Source organism: Homo sapiens, chromosome 7 (genome assembly GCF_000001405.40).
Source record: "Homo sapiens chromosome 7, GRCh38.p14 Primary Assembly".
NCBI lineage: Eukaryota > Metazoa > Chordata > Mammalia > Primates > Hominidae > Homo > Homo sapiens.
In genome coordinates, this window is record NC_000007.14 from 7,050,912 (window position 1) to 7,069,612 (window position 18,701).

At 43.2% G+C, this 18,701-nt stretch overlaps 1 long non-coding RNA gene and 1 other non-coding gene across 5 annotated transcripts in view; one reads left to right on the forward strand and one right to left on the reverse strand.

The window, feature by feature from the left end:
* LOC105375138 (uncharacterized) overlaps positions 1–18,701 on the forward strand; it is a 121,035-nt gene that overhangs the window by 60,671 nt on the left and 41,663 nt on the right. The gene's annotated exons all lie outside the window — the stretch shown is intronic.
* On the reverse strand, positions 16,053–16,134 carry MIR3683 (microRNA 3683). Its single transcript, NR_037454.1, has one exon. It is a non-coding gene; the product is annotated as a microRNA 3683 (primary transcript).

The window sequence follows — 18,701 nt, forward strand, 5'->3', positions numbered from 1 at the left end:
TGGAAAGCTAGTCACTCAGTTTTGTTCAGTTTGTGAAAATCTATCTAGCTTCACATTTATAATATATGTTTATTTCAATAAAAATTTAACCAAAATAGAGGTACATATATCTGAGCCTCAACACCTGGACATCCATATTTCTTAGTGATTCAAATGGGCAGCCAGGGCAAGGACCTTCGATCAATATTCTGATCACAAATATGTGTGCAAATATAAGGACTGGAAGCCCCATTTTTTGAAAAATGTCTGTGGTTTATGGGAAACATTAAAATGGTGGGATTCTAGAGTTTCTTTTTTCTCTAACATTGTAATTTGTATTCTTACAATGTTGTTTTGTGCAATTGTGAAAATCCTGTGAATTACACTTCTCTGTGCTCTCATTTGTCAGTGTTGTCCATTTCTAGGAAGAAACATTTGCTTGCATGTCTAGAAGTGTGGCAAGAGGGAGGAGGGACAGAAGCTATGAGGAAGTGAGAAAATAAGTGCTGGCTTTCCTCCATCTTGTGCTACTCTGATTAGTCCCAGCTCACAGCCAAACATCCTCCTCTGACCAGATGTGGGGGCACAGTGGTGATGTACACTCGCCAGGAGGGCAGAGTCCAATGTTTATGGGGTTCTGCAAATTACTGGAGCAGAGTGTGGTCCCGAAGAACAGGAGAGACAGAGGAAGCTTCCAGCTACAGCTTTCTCCTCCACTTTTTCTCTGCCCTCTCATGCCCTGCTTGTCTGGCAATTTGAATGCAGACTAGACATTTCATCATTTGTTACAAGGACTTATGAAAAGGGATACGGACTCCGATGTTGTTGGGCAGATTCTAGTTTAGGCTAGAAGCTGGGGAGTAGGGGAGGAGATATAAGGGAGGAGGATGAGGTGTTAATGTTGTGTGTACTTTTGAGCCAGGAAAGAAATGTGATTCTGGGTGGTGAAGGTCTTGGCCAAATGGATCTGTTTTTCAGAGAGACAAAGAGCCCCTGTGATATTGTGAAGTATATATTTGGTATCCGTCCCCTTTCCTGGCATACAACTTTTAAAATACTTTGAATCTCCAAAGTGCTTTTTTTTTTTTCATATGCAATTGTTGACTGATAGATTGAGGATGGGACTGGCCACTAAAAAGACAAAGGCATGATCACAGGGTTGGGACTTTCAGCCCCACCCCCCAACCTTCCGGGGAGGGGAGAGAGGCTGAAGGTCAAGTTGATCACCAATGGCCAATAGTTTAATCAATCATGCCTATGTAATAAAGCCTCCATAAAAACCCAAAAGGGCAGAGTTCAGAGAGCTGAACACATGCAGGCTGACAGGAAGGTGAACCAGAATTTATTCATGTGCCAGGAAGATGGAACACCCCAACTCCACAAGGCAGAAACTCCTGTGCTTGGGACCCTTGCAGACCTCACCCTAGGTACCTCTTCTCTAGCTGCTTATTTGTATCTTTTAAAATAGGCCAGGTGTTGTGGCTCCCACCTATAATCCCAGTAACGCTTTGGAAGGCCGAGGTGGGAGGGTCATATGAGCCCAAGAGTTCGAGACCAGCCCAGCCAACATAGTAAGACTCCGTCTCTATGAAAAATAAAAGAAATTATCCAGGCATGGTGGCATGAGCCTGTAGTCTTACCTATTTGGGAGGCTGAGGCAGGAGGATCACTGGAGCCCAAGAGTTTAAGGTTACAATGAGCTATGATCATACTGCTACACTCCATCCTGGGCACATGCGCAAGACCCTGTCTTAAAAAAAAAAAAAAAGAGGAAAATCCTTTAAAATAAACCAATAAAAGGCTGGGCGCAGTGGCTCACGCCTGTAATCCCAGCACTTTGGGAGGCCGAGGCGGGTTGATCATGAGGTCAGGAGATCGAGGCCATCCTGGCTAACACGGTGAAACCCCGTCTCTACTAAAAATAGAAAAAATTAGCCAGGTGTGGTGGCGGGCACCTGTAGTCCCAGCTACTCGGGAGGCTGAGGCAGGAGAATAGCGTGAACCTGGGAGGTGGAGCTTGCAGTGAGCCGAGATCGCGCCACTGCACTCCAGCCTGGGTGACAGAGCAAGACTCCATCTCAAAATAAATAAATAAACCAATAAACAAAAGTAAGTGTTTCCTGAGTCTGGTGAGCCAATCTAGCAAATTAATTAAACCCAAAGAGGGGATTGTGAGAACCCCAACTTGAAGCCGGTCAGTCAGAAGTTCTAGAGGCCTGAACTTGCAACTGGTGCCTGAGACGGTGGAGCAATGTTGAGGACTGAGCCCTTTGCCTGTGGAATCTGACATGATCTCCAGGTAGATAGTGTTGGAACTGAACTGAAGGACACCCAGCTGGTGTCTGCTGCAGAATTGATTGCTTGTTTGCTAGGGGGGAGAAATATCCACATATTTTGGGGTCACAGAAGTCTTTTGTGTTGATGATTATTGATGTGTGGTATGAGAGCAGAGGAAAAAACACAGTTTGAGTTTTTCCCAACAGTTCCCATCCCCAGCTGCTTGATGGTTGCGAGTTTTTTGCCACTATAAATCAGGGGACTTCTGTAATCATTTACGCCTCGTTTAGGGAAAAAAATCAAATTATTGCATTGTTTGCTTCTGTATCTTATTTCCTCCTCCCTTAAACCGTTAGTTGTTTTCAAATACAAAATCCTATGTAGCCCAAAATTAGCATTTCTACACCATAAATTGATTGTATTGAATTAGCGAATAATGAGGCAAATTGGAAGAACCAGAACAACTGAAGGCAAACCTCCCAAAGCCTTACTTTTTATCGCAGACAAAGCAAATCCCTCCTTTCTTTTCTTCTGCTGTGCTTGTCACTTCTGTAGAGCTGCTATTCCAGCTGGCCTGCCCTGTTCTTGGTGATATTAGAGATCTGTAACTCACCCTAGACCACAGGTTCTCAGAGTGTGGTCCCCAGAGCAGAAGCATCATCTGGAAACTTTCAGACATGCACATTTTAAGGCCGCAGCCCAGACCTCCTGAATCAGAAACTCTGGGAATGGGGCCCAGTGCCCTGGGATTTAACAAGTGTTCTAGGTGATCCTAATGCAGTCTACAGTGGTTCTCAAACTCTATGAGTTCCTTTAGGTAGAGAGCACATCTGAGGTACCTCCTGCAGGACTTGGAAACCAATTGAATGTGGGAAGGTAGAGAGGAAGTAAAAGATAAAGATGTTTCAACAAACCAAGTAAGGAATACAAAGAAAAGAGGTGTTTTGGTTTTGTTATTGTTTACTTGTTTGTGGTATTTACACAGAAAGAAGTAGGTGATAAAAAGCTTTTTTATGCCTATTTTCAAAAGCCCGTTCTACATACATGTGTTGTCCGCTCAAAACATCCATCTGCTACGGACAGCAGCGACCATAGCTGAGGAGCCACATGGGTTTGGCTGTAAATCGAAGCTCTGCCATGTTTAATTCTTCGAGCCTGGGCAAAGCCTTGCACATTCCTGAGCTTTAGCTTCCTCATCTGACAATTGGAATAGTCATACCTACCCCACAGAGTTCCTGGAAGTATTAAATGAGATCATGTATACAAATCAATTAGCAAAATTCCTGACTCAGAAATGGCTGGTACTATTTGCGTATAGATTTGTGAGCCTGCAGAATGTATATGAGAAATGTAGACAATAGAATGGCTCTGATTATCCTAGTTGTGCAAGAGAGATGGAAAACTGAGCACACTTGAGGATGCCAGCAGTGGGAGCGGGTGGAGGAGGAGCAGGCAGAGAGACTGATGAGAAGGCACATGGGAGAGGCAGGAAGAGAATCAGGAGAGTGGCCTGGGAGCCAATGGAGGAAGGAGTGAATCAACAGCCACACATGGGGCAGAGATTAAGTAGGACTGAAACTAAGAATTAGCCATTTTATTTGGCCGTGAAAAATTCACTGTTGGCCTGGAAAACAGCAACGTCCACGAAGGTGTAAAGGGAGAGGCAGAACCCACTAGCGGGACCATGCAATCCTGAAGTGCTGTAACTTTAATCATGGAAATGGATTGATAACTGGGAGAGAGAAAGAGAATGTAAGCCATCTTCAAAATGGATAGAGCCTGATTAATGGTATTAATACATATAATGAAAGAATTTTCCTGAAATGAAAATTTTGGAGTTATCCATGATTTATTTCTTTCCATCACATCTCACATGTGATATGTGAAATATTTGTTAATATTTGGTGATAGGTCCAACAGAGGTTGTTGAGTTCATCAGCAGCCTCTCTTGGACCTATCACCAAAATAAATCCCAAATATATCCACTTTTCTGCTCCACTACTGTCACACTAATCCAGGCTACCCTCACCTGACTTCCAGGCAACTACAATGGCTACAACTGGCCTCCCTATCTCCTCTCTTGATTTCCTCCCTGCCTCAGCTCTCTTCCCAGCAGCCTCAGAGATGTTTTATCATGTAAATAAACTACAGTAGTCCCCTAATTCAAACCCTTCACAATTAGCAAATAATTCACAAGATTTACCTTGGTGAGCAAAGCCTCACCTACCTGGTTCCTGCTAATCTTCTGACACCATGTCGTCCAATACAACTGCCACTAGCCACATGTGACTCCTGAGAATTTGCAATGAAGCTGGTGTAATAGAAAAGCTAAATGTTAGATTTTATTTAATTTATATCAACTTAAATTTAAACAGCCACATGTGACTACTGAGAATTTGCAATGAAGCTGGTGTAATAGAAAAGCTAAATGTTAGATTTTATTTAATTTATATCAACTTAAATTTAAATAGCCACATGTGGCTAGTGGCTACCATATTATCCAGCACAGATTCAGAACACGTCTATCATCACAAGTTCTGTTGAATAGTGCTTATCTGACCTGGTGTCTCTGTGCTCTTCCTTGCTTATTGCACTTCAGCAGCATTGGCAAACTCACCCACAACAAGCTACTTCACCCTTGAAAGCCTTTGCACAAACTGGATATTATGAGAGGAAGATATTACTCCCAATATTGCAGAGGCAGAGAGAATGTTACTACCAATATCGTAAACACCCTGGGTATACACCATCTGTGATATTGTTCATAATATCCATGGGGGAGAGGAAGATACTACTCCCCATATTGCAGGCGGCGAACAACCCACCATCATATTGTTTGTAATATTCAGGGGGGAAGAAGATAAAATTACTTCCCATATCGCAGGGGGTATACACTTCCTTGTGATATTGTCTGTAATATCCGGCGGGGGAGAGGATGACATTACTCCCCATAATGCAGGGGGTACACACCCCACGGTGATATTGTTCGTACTATCCAGAGAGGGAAAGGATATCACTCCCCATATCGCAGGGGGGTACATCCCCCTGTGATATTGTTCGTAATATCCAGGGGGAGAGAGGATGATATTACTTACCTGTGACGTTGTTCATAATAACCAGAAGGGAAGAGGATATTACACTCCATATTGCAGGAGGTGTACACTCCCCCTGTGATATTCTTCATAATATCCAGGGGGGAGAGGATGATATTACTCCCAATATTTCAGGGGGTGTACACCCACCTGGGATATTGTTCGTAATATCCAGGGGGGTGGGGCATAAGATTACTTCCAATATCGTAAACACCTGTGTACACCTACTGTGATATTGTTTGTAATATCCAGGGAGGGAGAGGATAACATTACTCCCAATTTCATAGGGGGTGTACATCCCCTTGTGATATTGTCCGTACTATTCACAGAGGCAGAGGATGATATTACTCCCAATATCGCAGGGTTTGTTCACTGCCCTGTGATATTGTTCATAATATCCAGGGGGACAGAGGATGATATTACTGCGATTATTGCAGGCAGTGTGCACCTTCCTGTGATACTGGTCATAATATCCAGAGGGGGAGAGGATAATATTACTCTCAATATCGCAGGGGGTGTACACCCATCTGTGATATTGTCCGTAATATCAAGGATGGAGAGGAAGATATTACTCCCCATATCGCAGGGTTTCTTCACCTTTCTGTAATTTTGTTTGTAACATCCACGGGGGGAGAGGATGATATTTCTCCCAATATTGCAGGGGGTGTACACCCGTCTGTGATACTGTCTGTAACATCAGGGTGGAGAGGAAGATATTACTCCCCATATCACAGGGTTTCTTCACCTTTCTGTAATTTTGTTCATAATATCCACGGGAGGAGAGCATGATATTTCTCCCAATATCGCTGGGGGTGTACACCCCCTGCTAGATATTCTTCATAATATTTAGGGGGGAGAGGATGATATTACTCCCAATTTCGCAGGGGGTGTACACCTCCCTGTGACATTGTCCACAACATCAAGTGTGGAGAGGAAGATATTACTCCACATATTGCAGGGTGTGTACACCCACTATGATATTGTCCCTAACATCCGGTGGGGGGGGGGAGTGGCTGATATTACTCCCCATATCGCAGGGAGTGTACACACTCCTGTGATATTGTCCATAACATCTAGAGTGGGAGAGGGTGACATTACTCCCCATATTGCTGGTGGTGGTATTCACCCCACCTGTGATATTGTCTGTAACATCCAGGGGTGGAGGTGATGATATTACTCCCCATATTGCAGGGGGTGTACGCCCTCCGGTGTTTTGTTCGTAACATCTAGGGAAGGAAAGGATTATATTACTCCCCATATGGCAGGGTGTGTACTCCTTTCTGTGATATTGTCCATAACATCTAGAGCGGGAGAGGAAGACATTACTCCCCACATCGCAGGGAATGAAAGCCCCCTTAAGATATGGACTGTAACATCCAGAGAGGGAGAGAATAATATTACTCCCCATATCGCAGGGGGTACACACCCCTGTGATATTGTTTGTAACATCCAAGAGGGGAGAGGATGATATTTCTCCCCATATCAAAGGGGATGTACACCTCACTCTGGTATTGTCCGTAATATCTAGGGAGGGGGAGAGGATGATGCAACTCCCCAAATCCAGGGGCACACCCCTGCGATATTGTGTGTAAAGTCCGGGGGTGGAGAGAAGGTGTACACACCCCTGCGATTTTGTCCATAATATCCAGAAAGGGAGACGATGATGTATCTCTCCATATCGCAGGAGGTGTACACCCTACTGCGATATTGTCCATAATAACCAGGGGGTAAGGATGCTGTTACTCCCCATATCGCAGGGGCTGTACACCCTCCAGCAATATTGTCCATAATGTCCAGGGTGGAGAGGATGATGCTACTCCTCATATCGCAGGGGTGTATACCGCTGTGTGATATTGTCTGTAAAATCAAGGGGAGGAGAGGGTGATTTTCCTCCCTATATCGGAGGGAATATACAGCTGTCTGGGATATTGTTCATAATATCCAAGGAGGGAGAGAGTGATGCTACTCCCCATATCGCAGGATGTGTAAAAACCCCTGTGATATTCTTTGCATTATACCCGGGGGAGGAGATGATGTTACCAATCATATCGCCGTGTGTGTGTGCCCCCCTGCGATATTCTTCGGGATATTCAGTGGTGGAGAGGATAATATTACTCTCTGTATCACGGGGGGTGTACACCACACTGACATATTGTTACCCCCAGCGATATGAGGAGTAGTAGCAACCCCCTTTCCCCCCCCGGCTACTACGATCCACATCGCAGGGGGCTGCACACACCCCACCGTGATGCGGGGAGTAGTAGCAACCCCCTCTCCCCACCTGACTATTACGATCCACGGTGGACCTACACAGTGTTTATGATATTGTGAGTAAATCATGTCCCCCTCAGCAAATTACGAACTATTTCACAGACGGGTGTACAACCTCTGCCGTATTGGGAACAATATCATCCTCTCCCCCACTGGATATTAACAACAATATCACAGGGGTGTTTTTACTCTCTATGATAATGCATGTCATATCATCCTCTCCCACGTTGAAATTAGGAACAATATCACTGGGTGTGTGTACACCTGCGATGTTCAAAGTAATATTATCCTCTTCTCTCCTGGATCATGGGAACAATGTCACTTGGGGGTGCACACTTTTTCCAATATTGGGAGTAATACCATCCCCTCTGCTTTGGAATATCAAAGACACTCTCACACGGGGGTGTACATCTCCTGCGATACTGGGAATAATATTATCCTCTCCCCCCCTGCATATTAGGAAATATATCACAGAGTGGGTGTACACCTTCTGCGATATTGGGAGTAATATCCTCTTCTCCCCTTCTGGATATTAGCAACTGTGTCGCACGGGGTTTACACTTTCTCTGATATCTGGAGTAATGTCATCGTCTCCTCCTTTGAACGTTAAGAACAATATCACAGGGGGCATGTACACCCCCTGCCATATTGGGAGTAATATCAGGCTCTCCCCCTTCTCTTGATATTAGGAACAATATCCCAGCGTGGGTGTACACCTCCTAGTATATGGGGAGTAATATCATCCTCTCCCTTCCTGGATATTAGGAACAATATCACAGGGTGGGGGTACAGAGCCTGCAATATTGAAAGTAATGTCATCCTCTCCGCCTCCGGATATTAGGAACAATATCACAGAAGGGTTGTACACTCTCTTCGATATTGGGAGTATTATTATTTTCTCCTTCCCTGAATATTAGGAGCAATATTCCTGGGTGGATGTACACCCACTGTTATATTGGCAGTAATGTCATACTCTGCCCCCTGGATATTAGGAGCAATATCACAGGGTGGGTGTACACCCACGGCGATATTGGGAGTAATGTCATGCTCTCCCTCCCTGGATATTCGGAACAATATCACAGGTGGGTGTACATCTCCTGCAGTATAAGGAATAATATTATCTTCTCTTCCTTTAGCTAGTAAGAACAATATCACATGGGGGTGTACACCCCCTGCACTATTGGGAGTAATATCATTCTCTCTTATTCCGGATAGTAGAAATAACATCACAGGCGAAGTGTACACCCCCTGCGATATTGGGAGTAATATCATCCTCTCCCAACGTAGATATTAGGAACAATATCGCAGGGGGCGTGTACACTTCTTCGATATTGGTAGTAATATCAACCTCTCCCCCTTGGATATATGAAACAATATGACAGGCGGGGTGGACACACCTCGCCATATAGGGAGTAATATCACCCTGTCTCCCTCCCTGGATATTACGATCCACGTGGACACACCACGTTGTTTACGATATTGTGAGTAATGTCATCTCCCCCTCTAGAAATTACGAACAATATCAAAGATGCGTGTACACCCTCTGCAATATAGGGAGTAATATCATCCTCTCCCCACCTGGATATTAGTTACAATGTCAAAAGAGTGTGTATAACCCCAGAGACATTGGGAGTAATATCATCCTATCCCACGTTGAAATTAGGAACAGTATCACCGGGGGCGTGTACGCCCCCTGCGATATTGAAAGTAATATCATCCTCTTCCCTCCTGGGTGATAGGAACAATATCACTGGGGGGTGTACACTTCCTGTGATATTGGGAGTAATATCATCCTCTCCGTCTTTGAATATTGAGGACAATATCACGGGAGGTGTACACCCTTTGCGATATTGGGAATAACATCCTCTCCCCTCCTGCATATTAAAAAAAATCACAGAGTGGGTGTACACCTCCTGCGATATAGGGAGTAATATCCTCTTCTCCTCTTCTGTATATTAGGAACAATATCACACGGGGGTATACACTTTCTGCGATATTGGGAGTAATATCAACCTCTCGGCCTTTGAATATTAAGAACATCACAGGGTGGATGTACACCCCCTGCGATATTGGGAGTAATATCAGCCTCTCACCTCCATGGATATTAGGAACAATATCCCAGGGTGGGTGTACACCTCCTGCTAGGTGTGGAGTAATAGCATCCTCTCCCTTCCTGGATATTACGAACAATGTCACAGGGTGGGTGTACACAGCCTGCGATACTGGAAGTATTATCATCCTCTTCCCCCTCCAGATACCTGGAACAGTATCACAGAAGAGGTGTACACTCCCTGCGATATTGGGAGTAATATCGTTCTCTTCTTCCGTGAATATTAAAAGCAATATCACCGGGTGGATGTACACCCACCGCTATATTGGGAGTAATGTCATACTCTAATCCATGAATATTAGGATCAATATCACAGGGTTGCTGTACACCTACTGCGACACTGAAACGAATATCATGCCCTCTCTCCCTGGATATTAGAAACAATATCACCAGGGGGTGTAGACACCCTGCGGTATTAGGAGTAATAACATTATTAATGATTAATCCTAGCTTCTTAATATTAATATTAATGATCAATATTAATATGAATTTTTTCTAATATGATATTAATTAATAGTAACAGTAATTAATATTAATTACTCATTATTTTGTTATTGATAGCACCATCAACTAATGTTAATCATTAATATTAATTTTTATTAACATGATTAATAACATAATTGATAATATTAATTGGTATGATTGTCATGTTTATTAATATTTATAATCAATATTAATTAATAATTATCAATGTTATTGTAACAATGATTATTAATAATAAATAACTAATAATGTGTTGATTATTCATAATTACAACTTAATTAGAATTAATTAAAATCAATTATTAATTATTAATAAATAGTATTATTATTTCTGATATCGGGGCGGGGAGGGTGTGATATTACTGCCAACATCGCAGGAACTGTGCACCCTTCTGTGATATTGTTCCTAATAGCCAGAAGGGGAGAGCATTACTCTCAATATCACAGGGGGTGTACACCTGTGATAGTGTTCTTAATATCTATGATGGGAGAGGATGATATTACTCCCAATATCACAAGAACTGTACAGCGTCCCGTGATATAGTTCCTAATATCTAAGTGGGGAGAGGATGATATTACTCCCAATATGGCACAAATTGTAAAACCCTTTCGATATATTTCCTACAATCCATGGGGAGAGGGTGATATTACTCCCAATATCGAAGGAGGTGTACACCCTCCCGTGACAGTGTCCTCAATATCCATGTTGTCAGACGATGATATTACACCTAATATTGCAGGGGCTGTACACCCACCCTGGGACATTGTTCCTAATATCGAGAAGGGGAGAGGATGATATTAATCCCAATATCGCTGGGGCTGTACACCCCTCCTGTGATATTGTTCCTAATATCCTAGGTGGGAGAGCATGATATTACTCCCAATATCGCAGGGCTGTATACCCACCCAGTGATATTGTCCTTAATGTCCAGAAGGGAAAGGATGTTATTACTCCCGACATTGAAGGGGTTGTACCCCTCGACACGCCAGGATATTGTTCCTAATATCCGGGGAGGAGAGGGTAACATTGTACCCAATATCGCAGGGGGTGTGCACCCCCCCTGCGATATTGTTCCTAATATCCAAAGGTAGAGAGGATTATACACTCTCAATATCGCAGGGGGTGTACACCCCACTTGTGATACTGTTCTTAATATTTACGGGGGGAGACAATGGTATTACTGTCCATATCTCAGGGGTGGACAACACCCCTGTGATATTGTTTTTACTATTCAGTGGGGCAGAGAATGATAATTTCAATATCACAGGGGACACACTCCCTGTGATATCGTTTCTAATATTCAGGGGAAGAGAAATCATATGACTCACAGTATGACAGGGGGTGTACTCACCCTCCATAATATTGTATCTAAAATCCAGGGGGGATTTGAAAGATATTACTCCTAATATCACAGTGGGTGTAAAAGACCCCTTTGATATTGTTCCTAATATCCGGGGAGGGAGAGGATGATATTACTCCCAATGTCTTTGGAGGTGTACACCCCCCCGTGATATTGTTTCTAATATTTACGTGGGGAAAGGATGATATTACTATCAATATCTCAGAGGGTGTACACCCTTCTTGGGATATTTTTTCTAATATCAAGTGGGGGAGAGCAAGATATTACTCCCAATATCGCAGGAGGTGTACACCCCGCCTGTTATTTTGTTTCCAATATCCAGGTTGGTAGAGGATGACGTTACTGCCAATATTGCAGGAGTTGTACCCCCAACCTGTGATATTATTCCTAATAGCCAGGGGAAGAGAGGATGATATTACTCAAAACAGCGCAGGAGGTGTACACACCCCTGTGATATTGGTGCTAATATCCAGTGTGGGAGACGATGATATTACTGGCCATATCGCGGGGGTTGTACACCCCCTCTGATATTTATTTTAATATCCAGGGGGTAGAGTATCACATTACTCCCAATATCGCAGTGGGTGTACACCAACTCTGTGGTATTGTTCTTAAAATCCAGGGAGGGAGAGGATGATATTACTGTCAATATCGCAAGGGGTGGACACCCCCTCTTTGATATTGTTCCTAATATCCAGGGGGAGAGCATGATATTAATCCCCATATCGCTGGGGGATACACCCCTTTTTGATATTGTTCCTAATATCCCGGGGGGAGTCAGTGATATTGGCAATATCACAGGGTGTGTACACCACACCTGTTATATTGTTTTTTTTTTCCGGCAATGAAGAAATTGATACTATTGTCAAAACAGAATGCGCGGTACACCCCGCATGAGATATTGTTTCTAATATCCATGGGAGAAAGGATGATATTACTCCCAATGTTTCAGTGGGTGTATAATCCGCCTGTGATATTGTTCCTAGTATCAAGTGGGGGGTGAGGATGATATTACTCCCAGTCTCGCAGAGGGTGTACACCGCCCCTGTGATATCGTTCTCAATATCGATGGGGGTAGAAAACTATATTACTCCCAATGTCGCTGGTGATGTTCACCTTCCCGGTGATATTGTTTCTAATATTTAGGTGAGGGAATGATATTACTCTCAATATCGCAAGTGGTGTACACAGCTTCTTTGATATTTTTCCTACTATTTTCGGGGGGAGAAGAGGATATTACTTTCAGTATTGAAGAACGTGTACACGACCCCTGTGATATTGCTCCTAATATCAAGGTTAAAAAAGGATGATATTACCCCCATTATCGCAGGGGGTGGGGTGTACACTTCACCTGTGATATTATTTCTAATATCCAGGGGAAGAGAGAATAGTATTACTCCCAATAGCGCAGGGGGAGTACACACCTTTTGATATTGTTCCTAATATCCAGGGAAGGAGCCGATGATATTGGTGGCCATATCACAGGGTGTGTATATCCTTGTCTGATATTGTTCCTAGTATTCAGTGGGGGAGAGGATAACATTAATCCCAATATTGCAGGAGGTGTACATATTTGCTGTGATATAGTTCCTAATGTACAGGGAAAAGAGAATAATATTATTCCCAATATCGCAGGGGATATATTGTCTCTGTACATTGTTCCTAATATGGAGAGGGGTAGAGGCTGATATTACTCCCAATATCGCAGGGGGTGTACACACCCCTTTTGATATTGTTCCTGATATCCAGCGGGAAAGCGGCTGATATTACTCCCAATATCGCAGTGGGTGTACACCTCCTTTCTGGTATTGTTTCTAATATACAGGGTGGAAAAGGATATTACTGACAATATCGCAGGGGGTTTACACCCCTTCTGTGATATGGTTCCTGATATCCAGGGGGTGAGTAGATGATATTACTCCCAATAACGTAGGAAGTGTACACCCCCCTGTGATATTGTCCCCAATAACCACATGGGGAGAGGTGATATTACTCCCAATATTGCAAGGGGTGTACACACCGCCTGTAATGCTATTTCTTATATCCAGGAGGTGAGAAGATGATATTACTACCAATATTGATGGAATGTACACCACCCATGTGATATTGTTTTGAAAATCCACGTGGATAGAAGATGATATTACTCCCAATATAACAAGGGGTGTACACACCGCCTGTGATATTATTCGTAAAATCGAGAAGAAGAGAGAATGATATTACTTCCAATAGTGCAGGGGGAGTACACTCTTCCTGTGATGTTGTTCCTAATATCTAAATGAAGAGATAATGATATTACTTTCAATACCGCAGAGAGTGTACAACCCCCTGTGATATTGTTCCCAATAAACTAGTAGGGGAGAGAATGATATTACTTCTAACATTGCAGTGGCTCTTCTCCACACCCCCAACCCCGTGATATTGCTCTTAATTTCCAGCTGGTATAGTATAATGTTTCTCCCAGTATAGCAGTGGGTGTACACTCAACCTGTGATATTTCTCCGAATATTCAGGGAAAAACAGGATGATACTACTCTGAATATCGCAAAGAATGTACACTCCTTTTGTGATATTGTTCCTAATATCCAGAAGGGGAGAGGATGATATTACTTTTAATATCGCAGGCAGTGTACACCCCCCTGTGATATTGTTCGTAATATCCAGGTGAGGATAAAATGATATTACTCCCAATATTGCATGGGGTATACATTCTCCTGTGATATTGTTAGTAATATCCAGGGGAGCAGAGGTTGATATTACTGTCAGCATCGCAGGTGGTATACATTTCCCTGTGATATTTTTCGTAATATCAAGGGAAGAAGAGGTTGATATTAATCCCAATATCGCAAAGGTCATACACCCTCTGTGATATTGTTCGTAATATACGGGGGGGGGGGGAAGGATGATATTACTCTCAATATCGCAGAGGAATATACACATATCACAGAGGACCATATCACAGAGGAGGTACGCCCCCTGAGACACCCCCCTGCCATATGGTTCATAATATCCAGAGGGGGAGAGAATGATATTACTGCCAATATCGCAGGGAGTGTACACCTTCTTCTGATATTGTTTGTGATATCCATAGTGGAAGAGGATGGTATTACTCCCAATTTCGTAGGGGGTGTACACCCCCTTGTGATATTGTTAGTAATATTCAGAGGGGGAGAGGATGATATTACCCTCAATATCACAGGTTTTGTTCACCGCCCTGTTATATTGTTCATAATATCCAAGAGTAGAGATGACATAACTCCCAATGTCACATGGAATTTACCTTCTATGTGATATTGTTCATGATATCCAAGGTGGCAGATGATGTTACTTTCAATGTCGCAGGAGGTGTACACCCTAACTCATAATGTTCGTAATATCTAAGGGCGGAGATCATATTACTCCCAGAGTCGCAGGGGATGTACAACCTCTGTGATACTGTTTTTCATATCCAAGGGGGAAGATGATATTACTCCCAAGATCGTAAACACCCTGTGTATGCACTCTCTGTGATATTGTTCATAATATCCAAGGAGGGAGATGATTTTACTCCCAGTATCGCAGGGGGTGTACACCCTGTGTGAAATTGTTTCTAATATCCCAAGGGTAGATGACGCTTCTCCCAGTATCACAGAAGGTATACATCCTCTGTGATATTGTTCGTAATATCCAATGCGGGAGATGACGTTGCTCCCAGTATCGAAGGGCGTGTACCCCCTCTCTCTGTATTGTTGTTCATGATATTCAAGGGGGGAGATGACTTTACTCCCAGCATTTCAGGGGGTGTACCACCTTTTAGATGTTGTTCGTAATATCCAAGGAGGGAGATGACGTTACCCCCAGTATCGCAGAAAGTGTGCCCCCTCTGTAATATTGTTCATAATATCCCATGTGGTAGATGACGTTACTTCGAGTATTGCAGCAGGAGTACCCTGTGATATTATTTGTAATATCTAAGGGGAAAGATGACGTTACTCCCAGTATCTCAGAGAGTGTACCCTCTCTCTGATATTGTTCATAATATCCACGGGGTGAGATGACGTTACTCCCAGGATTGCAGGGGGTGTACCCCCTCTGCGATATTGTTTGTAATATCAAAGGTGGACGATGATACTACTCTCAGTGTCGCAGGTGGTGTACACCCTCTGTGATATTGTTCATAATACTCAAGGGGGGAGATGATACTACACCCAATGTCGCAGGGGGTGTACACTCTCTGTGCTATTGTTTGTACTATACAAGGGGAAAATGATACTACTCACAATGTTGCCGGAGGTGCACACCCTCTGTGATATTGTACGTATTATCTAAACGGGGAGATGACACAAATCCCAATGTCACAGTTGTTGGACACCCTCTGTGATGCTGTTCGTAATAATCAAGGGGGACGATGATACTACCCCCGATGTTGCAGGAGGTGTACAACCTCTGCGATATTGTGTGTGATACCCAAGATGGGAGATAATACTACTCCCAGTGTCGCAGGGGGTGTACACCTTCTGTGATATTGTTCGTAGCATCCAAGGGAGAGATGATACTACTTCCAATGTCGCAGGGGGTGTACACCCTCTGTGTTATTGTTCATAATATCCAAGGGGTGAGATGGTACTACTTCCAAAGTCATAGGGGATGTACTTCCTCTGTGATATTGATTTGTGATATCCAAGGGAAAAGATAATATTACTCCCAATGTCGCATTGGGTGTACACCCTCTGTGATATTGTTTGTAATATCCATGGGGGGAGATAATATTACTCCCAATGTCGCAAGGGGTGTATACCTTCTGTGTTATTGTTCATAATATTTAAGAGGGGGGAATGATATTACTCCCAATGTCCCATGGGTGTACATTCCAAGGGTGGATATAATATTACTCCCAATGCTGCAGGGGGTGTACACCCTCTCTGTTATTGTTTGTATTATCCAAGGGGGGAGATGATACTACTTCCAATGTCTCAGGGGATGTACATCCTCTGTGATATTGTTTGTACAAAATCACAGAGGATGTACACCCTTTCTGTTATTGTTCTTAATATCCAAGGGGGGAATGATGTTACAATGTCGCAGGGGGTGTACACCCTCTGTGATATTGGTCTTAATATCCAAGGTGGGAGATGATATAACTCCCAATGTCGCATGGGGTGTACACCCTCTGTGATATTGTTTGTAATATCCAAGTTGGGAGATGATATAACTGTCAATGTTGCCTGGGGTGTACACCCTTTGCGATATTTTTGGTAATATCCAAGGGGGATGATGATGTTACTCCCAGTATTGCAGGAGGTGTACCCCCTCTGTGATATTCTTCATAATATCCAAGGAGGGAGATGTCATAACACCCATTATCGCAGGGGATGTACCCCTCTATATCATTTGCAATATGCAATGGAGGAGATGACATTACTCCCAGTATCGCAGCAGGTGTACCCCCTTGTGATATTGTTCATAATATTGAAGGAAGGATATGATACTACTCCCCATATCATAACACCGTGTGTATACACTCTCTGTAATATTGTTTGTAATATCCAAGGGGGGGAGATGATACTACTTCCAATGTTACAGGGGGTGTACACCCTCTGTGATAATGTTCTTAATATCCAAGGGGGGAAATGATACTACTCCCAATGTCGCAGAGCATGTACATCCTCTGTGATATTGTTTGTAATATCTAAAAGGGGAGATAATACTACCTCCAAATGTCACAGGGGGTGGACACCCTCTGTGATATTGTTTGTAATATCCAAGGAGGGAGATGATACTACACCCAATGTCGCAGGGGGTGTACACCCTCTGTGACATTGTTCATAATATCCAAGGGGGGAGATGATACTACTCCCAATGTTGCAGAGGGTGTACACCCTCTGTGATACTGTTTGTAATATCCAAGGGGGAGGTAATACTACTCCAAATTTCGCAGCGGATGAACACCCTCTGTGATATTGTTCACAATATCCAAGGTGGGAGACTATACTATTCCCAATGTCTCAGGGGATATACACCTTTTGTGATATTGTTTGTAATATCCAAGGGGGGGGGGATGATACTACTTCCAATGTCACAGGTGTGTATACCCTCTATGATATTGTTTGTAATATTCAAGGGGGGAGATGATACTACTCCCAGTGTCACAGGGGGTGTACACCCTCTGTCTATTGTTCATAATATCCAAGAGGGGAGATGATACTACCTTCCTTGTCACAGGGGATGTACATCCTCTGTGATATTGTTTGTAATATCCAAGGGGAAAGATGATATTACTCTTAATGTCACAAGGGGTTTATACCCTCTGTGATATTGCTCATAATATTTAAGGGGGGAATAATATTACTCCCAATGTCGCATGGGTGTACACTTTCTGTGTTATTATTTGTAATATCCAAGGGGAGATATGATATTACTCCCAATGTCGCAGCTGGTGTACACCTTCTGTGATGTTGTTTGTTATATCCAAGGGGGGAGATGATATTATGCCCTGTGTCGCAGGGGGTGTATACCGTCTGTGATATTGTTTATAATATCCAAGAAGTTAGATGATATTACTCACAATGTCGCAGGGGTGTACACCCTTGGTCATATTGTTCGTAATATCCAAAGGGGGAGATGATATAACTCCCAATGTTGCATTCAGTGTACACCCTCTGTGATATTGTTCATAATATCCAAGGAGGGGAGATAATATTACCTTCAGTGTCACAAGGGTGTATACACCCTATGTGATATTGTTCATAATATCCAAGGGGGAGATCATATTACTCCCATTGTAGCAGTGGGTGTACAACTTCTGTACTATTGTTCATAATATCCAAGGGGGAAGATGATATTACTCCCAATGTCATAAACACCCTATGTGTACACCCTCTGTGATATTGTTCGTAATATCAAAGGAGGGAGATGACATTACTCCCAGTATTGCAGGCGATGTGTACCCTCTGAAATTATTCCTAATATCCAAGGAGGAGATGACGTTATTCCCAGTATCACAGAAGATGTATCCCCTCTGTGATATTGTTCATAACATCCAAGGGGGGAGATGACGTTACTCTCAGTATCTCATGGGGTGTACCCCCTTTGTGATATTGTTCGTAATATCCAAGGGGGGAGATTACATTACTCCCAGTATTGCAGCAGGTGT